Genomic DNA, 16,062 nt, shown 5'->3' with positions numbered 1-16,062 from the left:
CAAGGTGACAGCACTATAGAAAAAAGTTCTAATTTAATTCTCAGAGATGACCAGAGATTTTTCAGTGTTTACACAAAAGTGCATGGTACTTTTTTTTATAAAATAAAATAAATATAATTTGCCACCATAAACCTTTTTTCTTTTTAGAGTAGAATAATTTTTACTACAGGACACAAAAATTAAGAAATGTATAAGATGAAAAAGATATAGTAAGATAAGGTTAATATATTATTGAAGATATCAATGGCTGTTATATATGGATGTTAAGATAACAATTCAGATTATTTTTCAAACTAATCCTGAGGGAAAAATCTGTTTACAATTTAAATATTAATGTCATGTAGAAAGTATTATTAACAAATCCACTATCACAAATATCAATTTCCTATGTGGTCTTCTATATATATAGACAATAAAATAGTAAATACATGCAAAACAAATACACGTGCAAAACATGTCCAAAGTCCTTTGGAAACTGGACTTCCTATCAGATATTTGTTTTCCTTCCCCACCCCATCTTCTGATATTGTTTTGTGTTTTTATCACCCTACCAACACTGAACACTATTCCTTTTAACTCTGCATGAAGTCAATGAGAAATGTATTTATTGTACATTCAAGATATATAATATATACATTCTATATGTATATATGCTAGAAATATATGCTATATATATATATTTATGCTAGGGGTGTGTGTGTGTATGTGTATGGAGAGAGAAGGAGAAAGTGAGTCATGCACTGTAAAACAATGTTTCAATCAACGACAGACTGCATACATGATGGTGGTCCCAAAAGATTATATGAAGCTTAAAAATTCCTACTGTCTAGTGATATTGTAGCCATTATAATATCATAGCTCCATGTATTAGTCACATGTTGGGTGATGCTGGTGTAAACAAACCTACTGTGCTGCCAGTCATATAAAAGCATAGCATGTACAGTTATGTACAGTGTATAATACTTGATAATAAAAGACTATATTATTGGTTTATGTATTTACTGTACTGTATTTTTATCTCTAGTTTAGACTACACTCCTACTTCAAAAAAAGCCCCAGGCACTTTCTTCAAAAGGCATTCCAGAAGGCGTTATTATCATAGGAGATGATAGCTACATGTGTGTTATTGTCTCTGAAGATCTTCTAGTGGGACAAGATGTGGAGGTGGAAGACAGTAATATTGATGATCCTGACCCTGTGTTGGCCTAGACTACTGTGTGTGTTTTTAGCAAAAAAGTAAAAATATATATATATTAAAAATAGTAAAGAGCTCATAGAATAAGACTGTAAAGAAATAAGATATTTTTGTACAGCTTTACATTGTTTTTGTGTCTGAAGTGTTGTTATAAAAGGAGTCACAAAATTTAAAAAATTAAAATATGTATTAGATGAAAAAGATATAGTAAGATATGGTTAATATATTATTGAAGAAAAAGTATTAATAAATTTAGTGTAGCCTGTGTGGACAGTGTTTTTAAAGTCTACAGTGGTTATATAATAATGTCCTAGGCCTTCACATTCACTCATTGCTCATGGCACATCCAGGAAACTTCCAGTCTTGCAAGCTCCATTCATGGTAAGGGTCCTAAATTGGTGCACCATTTTTAAAATCTTTATACTGTACTTTTACTGTATATTTTCTATGTTTAGACACACAGATAGTTAACATTGTGTTACATTTGCCTACAGTATTCACTGCAGTGATGTGCTGTACAAGATTGTAGCATAGGAGCAATAGGCTATACCCTGTAGAATAGGAGTGTAGGCTATACTACCTAGGTTTGTGTTCACAAAACAGTGAAATTGCTTAATGACCCATTTCTCAGAGTGTATGCCCTACATTAAGTGATACATGACTGTATCAACTCCATTAAGAACAAAATGCACCCCTTACCTAATGAAAGATGTCTAATATAGCTTACCTGTCACCAAGTAACTGGTCTATCACCATGGGGAATATCAACATACTGGGGACTCAGTGTTGGGTTTTGCTGCTTCTGGCAAGTTGGGAACAAAAGGAAAGCCTTGGTAAGTGGAAGTCCGTTTGACTGGGCCCATGCATGACAAAGATCCTTGCCATCATAGTCACTTTGTGAGTCCAATAGGCAATGACAAAAGTGTCTAGTGAAAGAGTTTGACTGCTATGCACAAAATGGGTCATTCATTCTATCACTTTCATTTAAAAAAACTCCCCTCTGGTGAGATTCTTCTTCTTCTTTTTTATTATACTTTAAGTTCTAGGGTACACATACACAACGTGCAGATTTGTTACATATGTATACATGTGCCATGTTGGTGTGCTGCACCCATTAACTGTCATTTACATTAGGTATATCTCCTGATCCTATCCCTCCCCCTTCCCCTCATCCCATAACAGGCCCCAGTGTGTGGACATACTTCCTGTGTCCAAGTGTTCTCATTGTTCAATTCCCACCTATGAGTGAGAACATGCGGGGTTTGGTTTTTTCTCCTTGCTATGCTTTGCTGAGAATGACGGTTTCCAGCTTCATCCATGTCCCTAAAAGGACATGAACTCATCATTTTTTATGGCTGTATAGTATTCCATGGTGTATATGTGCCACATTTTCTTAATCCAGTCTATCATTGTTGGACATTTGGGTTGGTTCCAAGTCTTTGCTATTGTGAATAATGCCGCAATAAACATACGTGTGCATGTGTCTTTATAGCAGCATGATTTATAATCCTTTGGGTATATACCCAGTAATGGAATGGCTGGGTCAAATGATATTTCTAGTTCTAGATCCTTGAGGAATCACCACACTGTCTTCCACAATGGTTGAACTAGTTTACAGTCCCACCAACAGTGTAAAAGTGTTTCTATTTCTCCACATCCTCTCCAGCACCTGTTGTTTCCTGACTTTTTAATGATTGCCATTCTAACTGGTGTGAGATGGTATCTCATTGTGGTTTTGATTTGCATTTCTCTGATGGCCAGTGATGATGAGCATTTTTTCATGTGTCTGTTGGCTGCATAAATGTCTTCTTTTGAGAAGTACCTGTTCATATCCTTCGCCCACTTTTTGATGGGGTTGTTTATTTTTTTCTTGTAAATTTGTTTGAGTTCCTTGTAGATTCTGGATATTAGCCCTTTATCAGATGAATAGATTGAAAAAATTTTCTCCCATTCTGTAGGTTGCCTGTTCACTCTGATGGTAGTTTCTTTTGCTGTGCAGAAGCTCTTTAGATTAATTAGATCCCATTTGTCAATTTTGGCTTTTGTCGCCATTGCTTTTGGTATTTTAGACATGAATTCCTTGCCCATGCCTATGTCCTGAATAGTATTGCCTAGGTTTTCTTCTAGGGTTTTTATGGTTTGAGGTCTAACATTTAAGTCTTTAATCCATCTTGAATCTAGCAGCACATGGAAAAGCTTATCCACCATGATCAAGAGGGTGTCATCCCTAGGATGCAAGGCTGGTTCAACATATGCAAATCAATAAATATAATCCAGCATATAAACAGAACCAGAGACAAAAACCACATGATTATCTCAATAGATGCAGAAAAGGCCTTTGACAAAATTCAACAGCCCTTCATGCTAAAAACTCTTAATAAATTAAGTATTGATGGGACGTATCTCAAAATAATAAGAGCTGTTTATGACAAACCCACTGCCAATATCATACTGAATGGGCAAAAACTGGAAGCATTCCCTTTGAAAACTGGCACAAGACACTGATGCCCTCTCTCACCACTCCTATTCTGTTGTGGGAAGTCAGGGACTGCAAACAGAGAGACCGGCTGAAGCCATGGCAGAAGAACATGGATTGTGAAGATTTCATGGACATTTATTTGTTCCCCAGATTAATACTTTTATAATTTCTTATGCCTGCCTTTACTGCAATCTCTAAACATAAATTGTGAAGATTTCATGGACATTTATTACTTCCCCAATCAATACCCTTGTGATTTCCTAGGCATGTCTTTACTTTAATCTCATAATCCTGTCAGCTGAGGAGGATGTATGTCACCTCAGAACCCTCTGACAATTGTGTTAACTGCACAAATTGTAGAGCATGTTTGTTTGAACAATATGAAATCTGGGCACCTTGAAAAAAGAACAGAATGACAGCAATTGTTCAGGGAATAAGAGAGGTAACCTTAAACTCTGACCGCCAGTGAACCAGGCGGAACAGAGCCATATTTCTCTTCTTTCAAAAGCAAATGGGAGAAATATGGCTGAATTCTTTTTCTCAGCAAGGAACATCCCGGAGAAAGAGAATACGCCCCTAAGGGTGGGTCTCTAAAATGGCCCCTTTCGGTGTGGCCATCTTCTATGGTTGAAACTCTAGGGATGAAATAAACCCCAGTCTCCCATAGCACTCCCAGGCTTATTAGGAAGAGGATATTCCCACCTAATAAATTTTGGTCTGACTGGTTGCTCTCAAACCCTGTCTCCTGATAAGATGTTATCAATGACAACGGTGCCTGAAACTTCATTAGCAATTTTAATTTCACCCCGGTCCTGTGGTCCTATGATCTCTCCCTGCCTCCATTTGCCTTCTGATATTCTATTACCTTATGAAGTATGTGATCTTTGTGACCCACACGCTATTCATACACTCCCTCCCCTTTTGAAAGTCCCTAATAAAAACTTGCTGGTTTTGCAGCTTGTGGGGCATCACAGAACCTACCGACATGTGATGTCTCCCCCGGATGCCCAGCTTTAAAATTTCTCTCTTTTGTACTCTGTCCCTTTATTTCTCAAACTGGCAGACACTTAGGGAAAATAGAAAAGAACCTATGTGACTATCAGGGCAGGTTCCCTGATACTATTCAACATAGTGTTGGAAGTTCTGGCCAGGGCATTCAGGCAGGAGAAAGAAATAAAGGGTATTCAATTAGGAAAAGAGGAAGTCAAATTGTCCCTGTTTGCAGATGACATGATTGTATAACTAGAAAACCCCATCGTCTCAGCCCAAAATCTCCTTAAGCTGATAAGCAACTTCAGCAAACTCTCAGGATACAAAATCAATGTGCAAAAATCACAAGCATTCTTATACACCAATAACAGAGAGCCAAATCATGAGTGAACTCCCATTCACAATTGCTTCAAAGGAATAAAGTATCTAGGATTCCAACTTACAAGGGATGGGAAGGACCTCTTGAAGCAGAACTAGAAACCACTGCTCAATGAAATAAAAGAGGACACAAACAAATAGAAGAACATTCCATGCTCATGGATAGGAAGAATCAATATGGTGAAAATGGTCATACTGCTCAAGGTAATTTATAGATTCAATGCCATCCCCAACAAGCTACCAATGATTTTCTTCACAGAATTGGAAAAAAATGACTTTAAAGTTCTTATGGAACCAAAAAAGAGCCTGCATTGCCAAGGCAATCCTAAGCCAAAAGAATAAACCTGGAGGCATCATGCTACCTGACTTCAAACTATACTTCAAGGCTACAGTAACCAAAACAGTATGGTACTGGTACCAAAACAGAGATATAGACCAATGGAACAGAACAGAGCCCTCAGAAATAATACCACACATCTATAACCATCTGATCTTTGACAAACCTGACAAAAACAAGAAATGAGGAAAGGATTCCCTATTTAATAAATGGTGCTGGGAAAATTGGCTAGCCATATGTAGAAAGCTGAAACTGGATCCCTTCCTTACACCTTATACAAAAATTAATTCAAGATGGTGAGGTTATTATTTTGTGAATATTCACATCAGACAAAAATATCTTTAGTTTTTCCCCTTCCAGAAAGGTTATCCTCATACTTTTTCATAAATTTTCTTATCACCAATTTCCCAATTATGTTTCTTTCAAGTCCCTGGCCATCCACCCAAATTATTGGCCATAGCTTATGAATCAGAGTCTAATTGCATGTCTGGCCATTTCTATTTCTAGGCAAAGTGAACAACCAGGTGCAATGTTTGAGTTTCTGATTACTGAGAGGATTTTTATTTACCACTGTCCTTCAGGAATATCCCAGAAAGGGCTTTTGTGCTGCAGCTGTCTACCTTGTGGTGCCTGTATATCATGCAGAACCATCTGTTCAGCAAGCCCAAATCTTCTCTGCCTCTGTTGACTAATTGATTTCCCCTGAAGTCTTCAGATGAAACCAGCCCTACAGCATTTTGATTTTATTCTGATAAGGCTGACTTTGGATTTCTAACCTCTAGAAATATGAGCATACATTTGTGTGTGAACTCTTGAGAAACTCCCCAAGAGGCCATAGGTGCAGGCTAAGGGGGAGGGCAATATAGGAGGAATGAAGACCATGGGCATTTGGACCACATGATGTAACTTACTTGTACTTTCAGGGCCTGCTTGAGCCCAGGTCATGTATATACCACTTTTGTTTGATGATGGCATGCTTCTGTACATGTTTAACTAAGTGGTTTGTCAGATAATACCCAGTTAATGATGGGTAGTAACTTGATGACCCATGGTTAAGTATTCATGCTCTATTAAGGCCAAAGAGGACACAAAAAGCAGCTTCTCAATAGTATAGTAATCTGAAGAAGACAGCAGGGTATTAATCCAAAATCCTAGGGGTCTTCACTTCTACTCATATGTGAAAGCTACCAAAGGCCCCAAGTAGCACCTCTATATGCCACTGACGCTTCAAGTACTGTTGGATGTGCTGGGTCATATAGCCCAAACAGCACAGCAGTTTGCACAGGAGTCTGGACCTGTGGCAGAGCCTTTTCATCTTCTGTACCCGACTCAAAACTAGCAGCTTGTTGGGTCACTTGGTAAATGGGCCAGAGAAACATAGCTAAATACGAATTATATTACCTCCAAAATCCAAAGAGACCTTCTAGGCATTGTTCCTCTTTTTTGGTTGTAGCAGGGGCCAGATGCAATAACTTATTTTTTACCTTAGAAGAGATATCACAACATGCCCCACATCACTGGGCCCATAGAAATTTAATTAGGTAGACTGTTCCTGAATTTTACTCACATATATTTCTTACTTTTTGACATACAATTGTCCTAGAGTAGTCAGTACTTTTTATTCACTGTATCCAATCAGCATAATGTCATCAGTTTAATATACCAGTGTGAGTTCTTGTGGAAGGAAAGGCAATAAAAATCCTTGCAAACTAAGTGACAACATAAGGCTGGAGAATTGATACACCCCTGAGGTGGAACAGTGAAGGTATGTTGCTGCCCTTGCCAGCTGAAAGCAAGCTGCCTCTGCTGGGCATTATTGACAGTGATAGAGAAAAAGGAATTTGCCAGATTAATAGCTGTATTCGAGGTAACATGGGATGTGTTAATTTGCTCAAGAAATGAAACTACATCTGGCACAGTGACTGCAATTGTAGCCACCTTCTGCATGCACTCACAACAATCCACTGTTATTTCCAAAGATCTCTCTGTCTTCTGTGAAGGCTAAATAAGCAAACTGAACGGGGATATAGTGGGAATCACCACTCCTGCATCCTTCAAACTTCTCATGGTAGCACACTAATCTTTTTAATCCCTCCAAAATGTATTATTGCGTTTGATTTACTATTTCCCTAGCAAGAGGCAGTTCTAGTGGCTTTCACTTCATTTTCACCATAATACCCTCACTCCACCAGTCAGGGAACCAATGTAAGAATTTTGCAAGCTGCTGTGTATATCTATTCTGATTATACATTATAGAACTGGAGAAACAACCGTCAGATGGTTTCACGAACCCACTGGACACCTGTGCAATTGACCTGAGCTAAAACTCCATTGATAATGTGACATTCATAAGCCCCTGTCTTGACTGGTGGGCCACAAATGGCTCCTAGAATCTCCTAAAATCAATGTCAATTTAGAGTCAATATCCAGCAATCCTTCAAAGATTGATTTTTCCTTTTCCCCAGTACATAGCTACCCTGATAAAAAAAAGCCATAGGTCTTTTGGGAAAGGCTGGGAGAAAGGTTAACAGTAAAGATTTTTAGTAGTGTACTCTGGTCCTTTCTCAAGGTGACCCAACTTTCCCTCATTTAAAGGTTCTGCTTTGGTGGCAACTACCAGTGCTAGTGCTGTGGCCACAAACTTAAGAATGCTGATAAATTCTAGAAACTGCAATAGGGAAGCCACACATTTCCCCCTGAAGTCTTCAGAAGAAACCAGCCCTGCAACACTTCGATTTCATTCCCATAAGACTGAGTTTTTATTTCTGATCTCTAGAAATATAAGAGAATACATTTGTGTGTGAAGCCACCTATTTTATAGTAATCTGTTTTTGTGGCAATAGAGTAATAATATAGAGCATAAGGAAACTATTACAAGTGATGAAAATTATCTGTATCATTATTGTGGTGGTGGAAATATGACTGTATAAGCATATCAAACTTCATTGAACTATTGACTTTTATATGTAAATAATACAGTCATTTTAAAAATCATGTTTTAAGTTCATTCCATTCCTATTGTTTCACCTAAATTTACTGATCACACCCTAAATTTCCTATCTTTATTTCCTTTTACTAATAGTTTAGCATTCTTCCAAATGCAAATGAATCCACAAAGTTTGCCAAGATGACCATAGCTTCTCTGAAGCTTTAGTAGCACTCAGATTGTATCTCTCACATAGTTCCTACCATTTCTGACTGCAGTATAGAGACTTGTAATATTTCATTTTCCCTGGTAGACTGCAGGCTTCTTGAGACCTACCATCATGAAGTTTGGCATTCTGAATACAATCCAGAATAGATCTTTTCCAAATAATCTATATTCCATAAAATTGTGCTTATAAAACACATTAATTCATTTATGTCTTTATTTAATTAGCAAACATGCCTGAGTCACTACTATACGCCTGGTTCTGTACTGGATACTAGGTATTAACATGTCTTTTCCGGTTATCACAAAGTTCTTTTTTTTTTTTCCTCTCTCCTCTATCGGTAGAGATTCAGCACATTTATTGTGCTAAGAGTTCCTATTTGTCCATAAAAGAGAGCAAGATAAACACAGTACCGACATCTCCTAAGGTGATTAAATAGCACTCAAACAGCCTTGTGTATCTGGGCTCCATTTGCTCTCTTAGGTATAGAGATCCACACAGTTTGGATGACTTGTGATGTCAGTGTGTTACTGCCTACAGCCTTGATACCTGCTTTGTTAAACAGCGTGATGAGCCAGCCATTCAGTTTCTTCCTCTCAACTCTAAAGGCTCTACTTTATGCTTCCAATTATGTAATAGATTCTGCTGTAGTGGCGACTGCTGATACATATTTTACCATGTATATCCAGGCTTTGTGTCACGCAATCACATTAAATAACAATCTAGCAGTTCTGCAAAAGATAGGCAAATAATCTGGTCTGGATGAAAAGACTTTATATTGTATATTAAATTTTAAACTGTGGGCTAGTTAAGTTTCTAGGAGAAAGAAGATGCTCTCAGTGTACACTAATGGGATCGCATTTTGATGCTGTTATGTACAATTTTCACCTCACAGAATTCCTATGAACCAATTTTATCTTTAAATAGTTTTGAACTAAACCATTGTGTTCACTGGTCTCATAAAAGTTTGGTATCTGATTCATCTACTACTTCTCTTACGTTTACAGAAATGGTACTAAAAAATGGAAAGCAGTGTTTCATGTTTTCATTCTATTACAGAGAAACCTTTAAGATGTCACCTATATAAAGCTGTAAATGGTACTAATTTCTCTTCTCGCAGATTAAGAGAGATGTAGCTTTTTTAAAAAAAACATTTCCTCAATTCCTGAAGGATTTTAGCTGAGCCCCTTTGACAAAGATTGGCTTTTATCTTTTTAGCTTTCTATCAATGTTTCTAAAGTTTCTTAACTCTGGAAAAATACTAGTCATTTCTATTGTGATGCTGTTTTTTTAAAATTATGTTTCAAACTAATATCTGTCTGAAGAGAAGTTTTTACTCACAATATTTTATTAAGATATTTTTCAAAAATAATGCCAATTTAAGAGATTTTACAATGAATACCTGTGTATTATTAACTTTACTAAGCTTGTTATTTTGTTGTTTTTGTGTTTTCATACCTATCAATTCCTTTGTGTATCTGTGAATCCACCTGATTTTGAACACATTTCAAGTACATTGCAGACACTAACATATTTTTATCTAATTACTTTAGAACACATATCACTACTATATTTCAATATTTAGATATACAATTTACATACAAGGAAATGCATGGATTTTAAGTGTACATTTGCACCTCTCTTAGTCCCTCTTTCCACCAACTCTGATATTTTTCTACCTTTTTATTTCTTTATTTTAGAGATGGGGTCTTGCTCTGTTGCCCAGGCTGGAGTGCAGTGGTGCAATAACAGCTCACTGCAGCTGCAAACTCCCGGGCTTAAGCAATCCTCCCACTTCAGCCTCCTGAGTAGCTACAATTACAGGTACATTTCACCATGGCCAGCTAATTTTTAAATTTTTTTTAGAGATAGGGTCTCACCATGTTGCCCAGGCTTGTCTTTAACTCTAGTCCTTTAATGATCCTCCTGCCTCAGCCTCCCAAATGCTGGAATTATAGGCATGAGCCACTATGCCTGGCCAATGTAAATGGATGCTCAGAAAACCTATTTTCACTCAGCCCATTTGGAATAGTTGAACATTTTGCTCATATCATAACATTTTTACTCTATATTTAGTTGCTACTTGCCTATATTTTTGGGCCAAGAAATTTAGTGAACTTTGATAACAAAAACTGCAAAAATAAAAGAATGATCTGGAATGGTGGAGCAAAGACATTTGAAATCTGCTTTTTCATAAAAACAATAAGAACACTAACAAAAACTGTCAAAATTAACATTTTTAGAACACTGAAAATTGCTATATGTTTGAAACCATCTGAAAGATATGTATTTAAAGAAACAAAGACAGCCGAATCTCAGTAAAAAGAGTGAGTGTTATATATTTTAACTTTCCCTAATCCCATTCTGCTCTCTCCAGCTCGTCAGTGGCTTTGAAAGCCAATACCCTCACAACTATGGTAGCTATGAAAACCAACATTATAGTAGCTACTGGAGGATGAATAAAAGATTTGAAGCTCCACAAAAGCCTAACCCCCAAGGAATTGTCACTATTTGACCTGACTGGTAGATTGCTGAAAAGCTCTATTATTTGAGCTGACTCTAAGAGCTCACTCTGTGGAAATAGATCTATCCTCAAGGAATCTGTGGCAAACAACCAGGGACAATTGTTTAACACTGATGCTGCCTGAGATGGCATTACCAGTTGATGCTAATGTACTCCAACACACACACATGGAACTCCTAGGCAAAGACTGGGAGATTTATTGGCTAATGGCATTTAATAAAATCTCTGTTTAATTACTAGCCAAATAACAAAACTAACCAAGCAGAGATTTCAGTGGCCTCAAATGACATAGGATACGGACTTCACAGAAGTAGTGCAGGAAAGTCACTAAAGAAGTAAACAGAATGGACAACAACAAGAAGCAGCAAAGCCCAACATATCTTGGGTGGTAGTGGTGTTTGATTTTCCAAGTTGCCACATTAAATTATTTAAAAAATTAAAAATCAAAATTTTTCTTTTGCTGTGTTTGTAAATTAAGATGCCAATTGTAATTCCTATAGCAGATATCAATAATATGATGTTAAAATATTCAGTAAAAAAAAAAAGAACTATACTAGAAAATATCTATTCAACACAAAAGAGGCAGTAATAAAAAGAGGAGCAAGGCCTGGTGTGGCGGGCGCGGAGGCTCACGCCTGTAATCCCAGCACTTTGGGAGGCCGAGGCGGGCAGATCACGAGGTCAGGAGATCGAGACCATCCTGGCTAACACGGTGAAACCCCGTCTCTACTAAAAATACAAAAAAATTAATTGGGCGTGGTGGCGGGCACCTGTAGTCCCAGCTACTCGGGAGGCCGAGGCAGGAGAATGGAGTGAACCCGGGACGTGGAGCTTGCAGTGAGCCGAGATCGTACCACTGCACTCCAGCCTAGGCGACAGAGCGAGACTTCATCAAAAAAAAAAAAAAAAAAGAGGAGCAGAATACATAAAACATATACAGTAAACAGCAACTGGCCGACTTAAATCTTACCTTATCAGTAACTCAGTAACTACATTCTGTAAATGGACTGACCACTCCTTTTTTTTTTTTTTTCTTTTGTGAGACAGAGTCTCACTCTGTTGCCCAGGCTGGAGTGCAACGGTGTGGTCTCAGCTCACTGCAACCTCCACCTCCCAGGTTCAAGAGATTCTCCTGCCTCTGCCTCCCAAGTAGCTGGGATTACAGGCGTGCACCATCATACCTGGCTAATTTTTGTATTTTTAGTAGAGACGGGATTTCACCATGTTGGCCAGGCTGGTCTCGAACTCCAGACCTTAGGTGATCCGCCTGCCTCGGCCTCTCAAAGTGCTGGAATTATAGGTGTGAGCCACCATACTCAGCCTCCAATTCTAAGGTATGGATGACCGAGTCAATTTAAAAAGCAGCCCAATATATTACTATTATTACAAAAGATAGAATTGAAATTCAATGACACAATCAATTGAATGAAAGAGATGTAAAAAGATATACCATGTAAACAGTGCTCAAAACAGAGCTGGAGTGGCTATAGTATAATCATGCAAAATAGACTTAAAATGTCTTCTAGACACAAGAAGGATATTTTGAAGTAAAAAGGGATCAATTCATCCTGAAGGTGTAAAAATTATAACCACATATGTACAAAATAATGGTCCTCAAAAATGTAAAATAAAAGTGACAGAGTTGAATGTAGAAATAGATACTTCAATAATTGTTGGAGAGCAGTCTTTATATAGATAGCGAAAAGTCTCTTCCAGCTTCTGTTGATCTCTAAGGGCCTTTAATTTAAAATGCTCATTTTACCAGGGACTCATGTTTTAAGGTGAAGTTCTCCGTACTCCAAAGTGCAAGTTTTATACCCTGAAAAAAATGACAAAACATCATTGAAAAATTTAAAGAAGGCCTAAATATTAAGAAGAAAACCGTCCCTGTTCATGGGTTAGGTGACTTAATATTTTAAAGAAAGCAATATTCCTCATACTATTATAGAAATTCAGTGTATTCACTTTCAAAATCCTGTGACCAGTTGTTGCATAAAGTGTCAACCTGATCCTAAAAATAATACAAAAATACAAGGGAATATGAATAATTACAACAATCTTGAAAAAGAAAAATGTTGAAGAACTCACATTTCCTGATTTTGGCAAAAATGCTATCATGACTTTAAAATCAAGCAAAAATAAAACACGTTTTTTAGAAACTAAATTTCTTGCTCTTTTTTATTCCTAATCCATCACATTTCCTACACTAATAGCAATAGTATATAACTATAAGTTGTTCCAGACATACATGAATATACATTTTTAAAATTGCATATAAATATTTAGATAAAATATTTAGTTTACCTAAAGTGTGGGATTAAAAAAAAGACCTTCCCAATTATCTCACACTCTTTTTTCTATGTTGACTAACCACAATCACTAAATATTCTCAATTACATTTAATATCAGACCCTGGAAGACAGATAAATGTGATTCAACGCCATATAACTCTTTAAAATATTCCCCTGAATACTTAAAAGTCATAATGTCTTATAATCATATGTAATTTTAGCATTTGCAAATAGCATTATATCAGTTGACATAAAAATGTATTTATTAATAAAATGATGACATGTTAACATATATTAAGCCAACAGCTAATAATTACCTGTCTTATAGACAGTAATCTTCTTGGCTTTTTTCAAGAATAAACTTTGTTGTCCATATAATTATTTGAAGTTTATAAGCAAAGAACTGCAAAGACTGGCATTTCTGTATTAATTAAGTCTAACATTAATGAAGACTGACAGACAATTAGAATTCTGGAGCTCCCAGAGCTATTGATATTGTGTAGCCAAAGCTAGACATTTTCAGTGACTAAGGTCACTCAGACATTTTCAGTCCAATACTTATTCTTTTCTTTGAATAATGAACACACACACACACACACACACACACACACACACACACACACATTCTCTCTCTCTTTTAATGATTAACAAGGCAGGTATCAAGCATAAATGAAGCACTCCTTTTCACAAAGGTTTCACTGATATCCCTCACTCTCTCACTCTCTCTCTCTCTCTCGCAACTTCAGTTTTATATGATTTATTCTTCTCATTTTTTGACAGCAATTTTAAACTCTAAGTTTAATTAATGCTCAAAAGCATCATGTTATTCAAGAAAGATGTGTGTTGAACGTATTTCTGCAGATATTAGCTCCCAGAGAGAAATAACTCTTTGAAAATTCTGCTTAGTGGTTAACTCTAGGCGATATTTTTTAGATACAACTGTATTTCCTAACCTTTCCCACCATATACAGTCAACAATGTATTGTTTTTGTTTTGTTGCCATTAATTATTGTTTGATAATTCACAATGAACCAAGCTTTTATATCTTATAAGGTTTTAAGCCTTTCCATGAAATTAGACATTGTGACTAACAGACTAACTTGGGAGCATTTCCCACCCCCTAATAAAATTAATCATTGCTTCTAGGAGCAAGTCAAAATTTTTCTGAATTCAATTTGGCCACGAAGATTTTACAACCCACTAAAACTATTTTGCTAATGACAAAGAATCTCTCCGTCAGGCACTGCTGTAAACTCTGCATTTTTCATCTTTTGAACCGTGAATACAAACATAATAATAAAAGAATATGACTAAGAAACTAACAGGTTTTGTCAGTGTTTCTCACATCAGTGTTAGTTTAGCAGATTTTGTGTAATTTTTACCTGGGGGTAGCTAAATTAGGAATATTATATATCTTTTGAAGTTAAAGATAAAAGGTTATCATTTCTTCTAAAAGTACAAATGAGAGGTTCGTTTATAAGATATCAGTTAATATGGTTTGGCTGTGTCCCCAACCTCATCTTGAATTGTAGCTCCCATAATCCCTACATGTTGTAGGAGGGACCTGGTGGGAGGTAATTGAATTATGGCGGTGGGTTTTCTCCATGCTATTCCCGAGATAGTTAATAAGTCTCACGAGATCTGAAGGTTTTGTAAAGGGCAGTTTTCCTGCATGTGCTCTCGCCTGCTACCATGTTAGACATGCCTTTGCCCCCACTTTGCCTTCCACCATGATTGTGAGTCCTCCCCAGCCATGTGGAACTGTGAGTCAATAACACCTGTTTCCTTTATAAACTACCCAGTCTTGGGTATGTCTTTATCAGCAACATGAGAACGGACTAATAAAGCAGTAGAGCTGAGAATGACATAGGGCCTCAACCCATTTTGTTGAAAAAAAAACAGACAAGCATGCTCAATAACTGGTACTCACATTATTTTTTCTCACATTCTTTTTAAACTCTCTCACCTGCTAAGTAACATACTTTAATTTTTTTCTGAACTATGAATATTTAATTTCTATTCAGTCATATAATACAATCTGACCCTAGAGTGGAAGGGTAGGGGAGTTGGATAGAAGACATAATAAGATATATGGGTTCTCCAGAGAAACAGAATCATGTGGAGAGAGAGAGAGAGACAGAGAGAAGAGGAGATTTATTATACAGATTGACTGACATGATTATGGAGAGTGAGAAGTCTCAAAACTCTCCAGTCAACAAGCTGGAGTCCGGGGAGTGCCACTGTGTAGTTTCAGGCTGAGTCTGAAAGCTGAGAATTAGGACAGCTGATAGTGTAAGTTCCAGTCTGAAGGCTGGCAGGATTGAGACCCAAGAAGAGCCAATGTTTCAGTTCAAGTGCAAAGGCTGGAAAAGACTAATGTCCTAGCTTCAATAATTGGTCATGAGGTCTTTCTTCCTTAGCCTTTTTGTTCTATGCAGGTCTACAAATGATTGGAACAGGTCCATCCACATTAGGGAGGATAATATCCTTTACTCAGTCTAACAATTCAAATATTAATCTTTCATCCAGAAACTCTCACAGACACACCCAACATAATGTTTAGCCAAATGTCCAGGCATCCCATGGCCTAGTCAAGTTGACCCATAAAATTAATCGTTACAGACAGGAAATAGGAGCTAATAATTAAAACCTTCAACCACAGTATTTTTATGTGAAAATAGGCAAACAAATTTTGTTTTTACTCAGTGAAAGTCCA

At 36.9% G+C, this 16,062-nt stretch overlaps 1 non-coding gene across 1 annotated transcript; it reads right to left on the bottom strand.

Annotated features, from left to right (window-relative positions):
- Positions 1 to 10,520: 10,520 nt before the first annotated feature.
- LOC124906345 (small nucleolar RNA Z40) lies at positions 10,521 to 10,592 on the bottom strand. Its single transcript, XR_007096305.1, has one exon. It is a non-coding gene; the product is annotated as a small nucleolar RNA Z40 (small nucleolar RNA).
- Between the last annotated feature and the right edge of the window lie 5,470 nt (positions 10,593 to 16,062).

This window comes from Homo sapiens, chromosome 3, assembly GCF_000001405.40.
Source record: "Homo sapiens chromosome 3, GRCh38.p14 Primary Assembly".
In the NCBI taxonomy this organism is placed as follows: domain Eukaryota; kingdom Metazoa; phylum Chordata; class Mammalia; order Primates; family Hominidae; genus Homo; species Homo sapiens.
The sequence above is the reverse complement of the archived record's forward strand: the minus strand, read 5'-3'. Positions and strand labels throughout refer to the sequence as shown.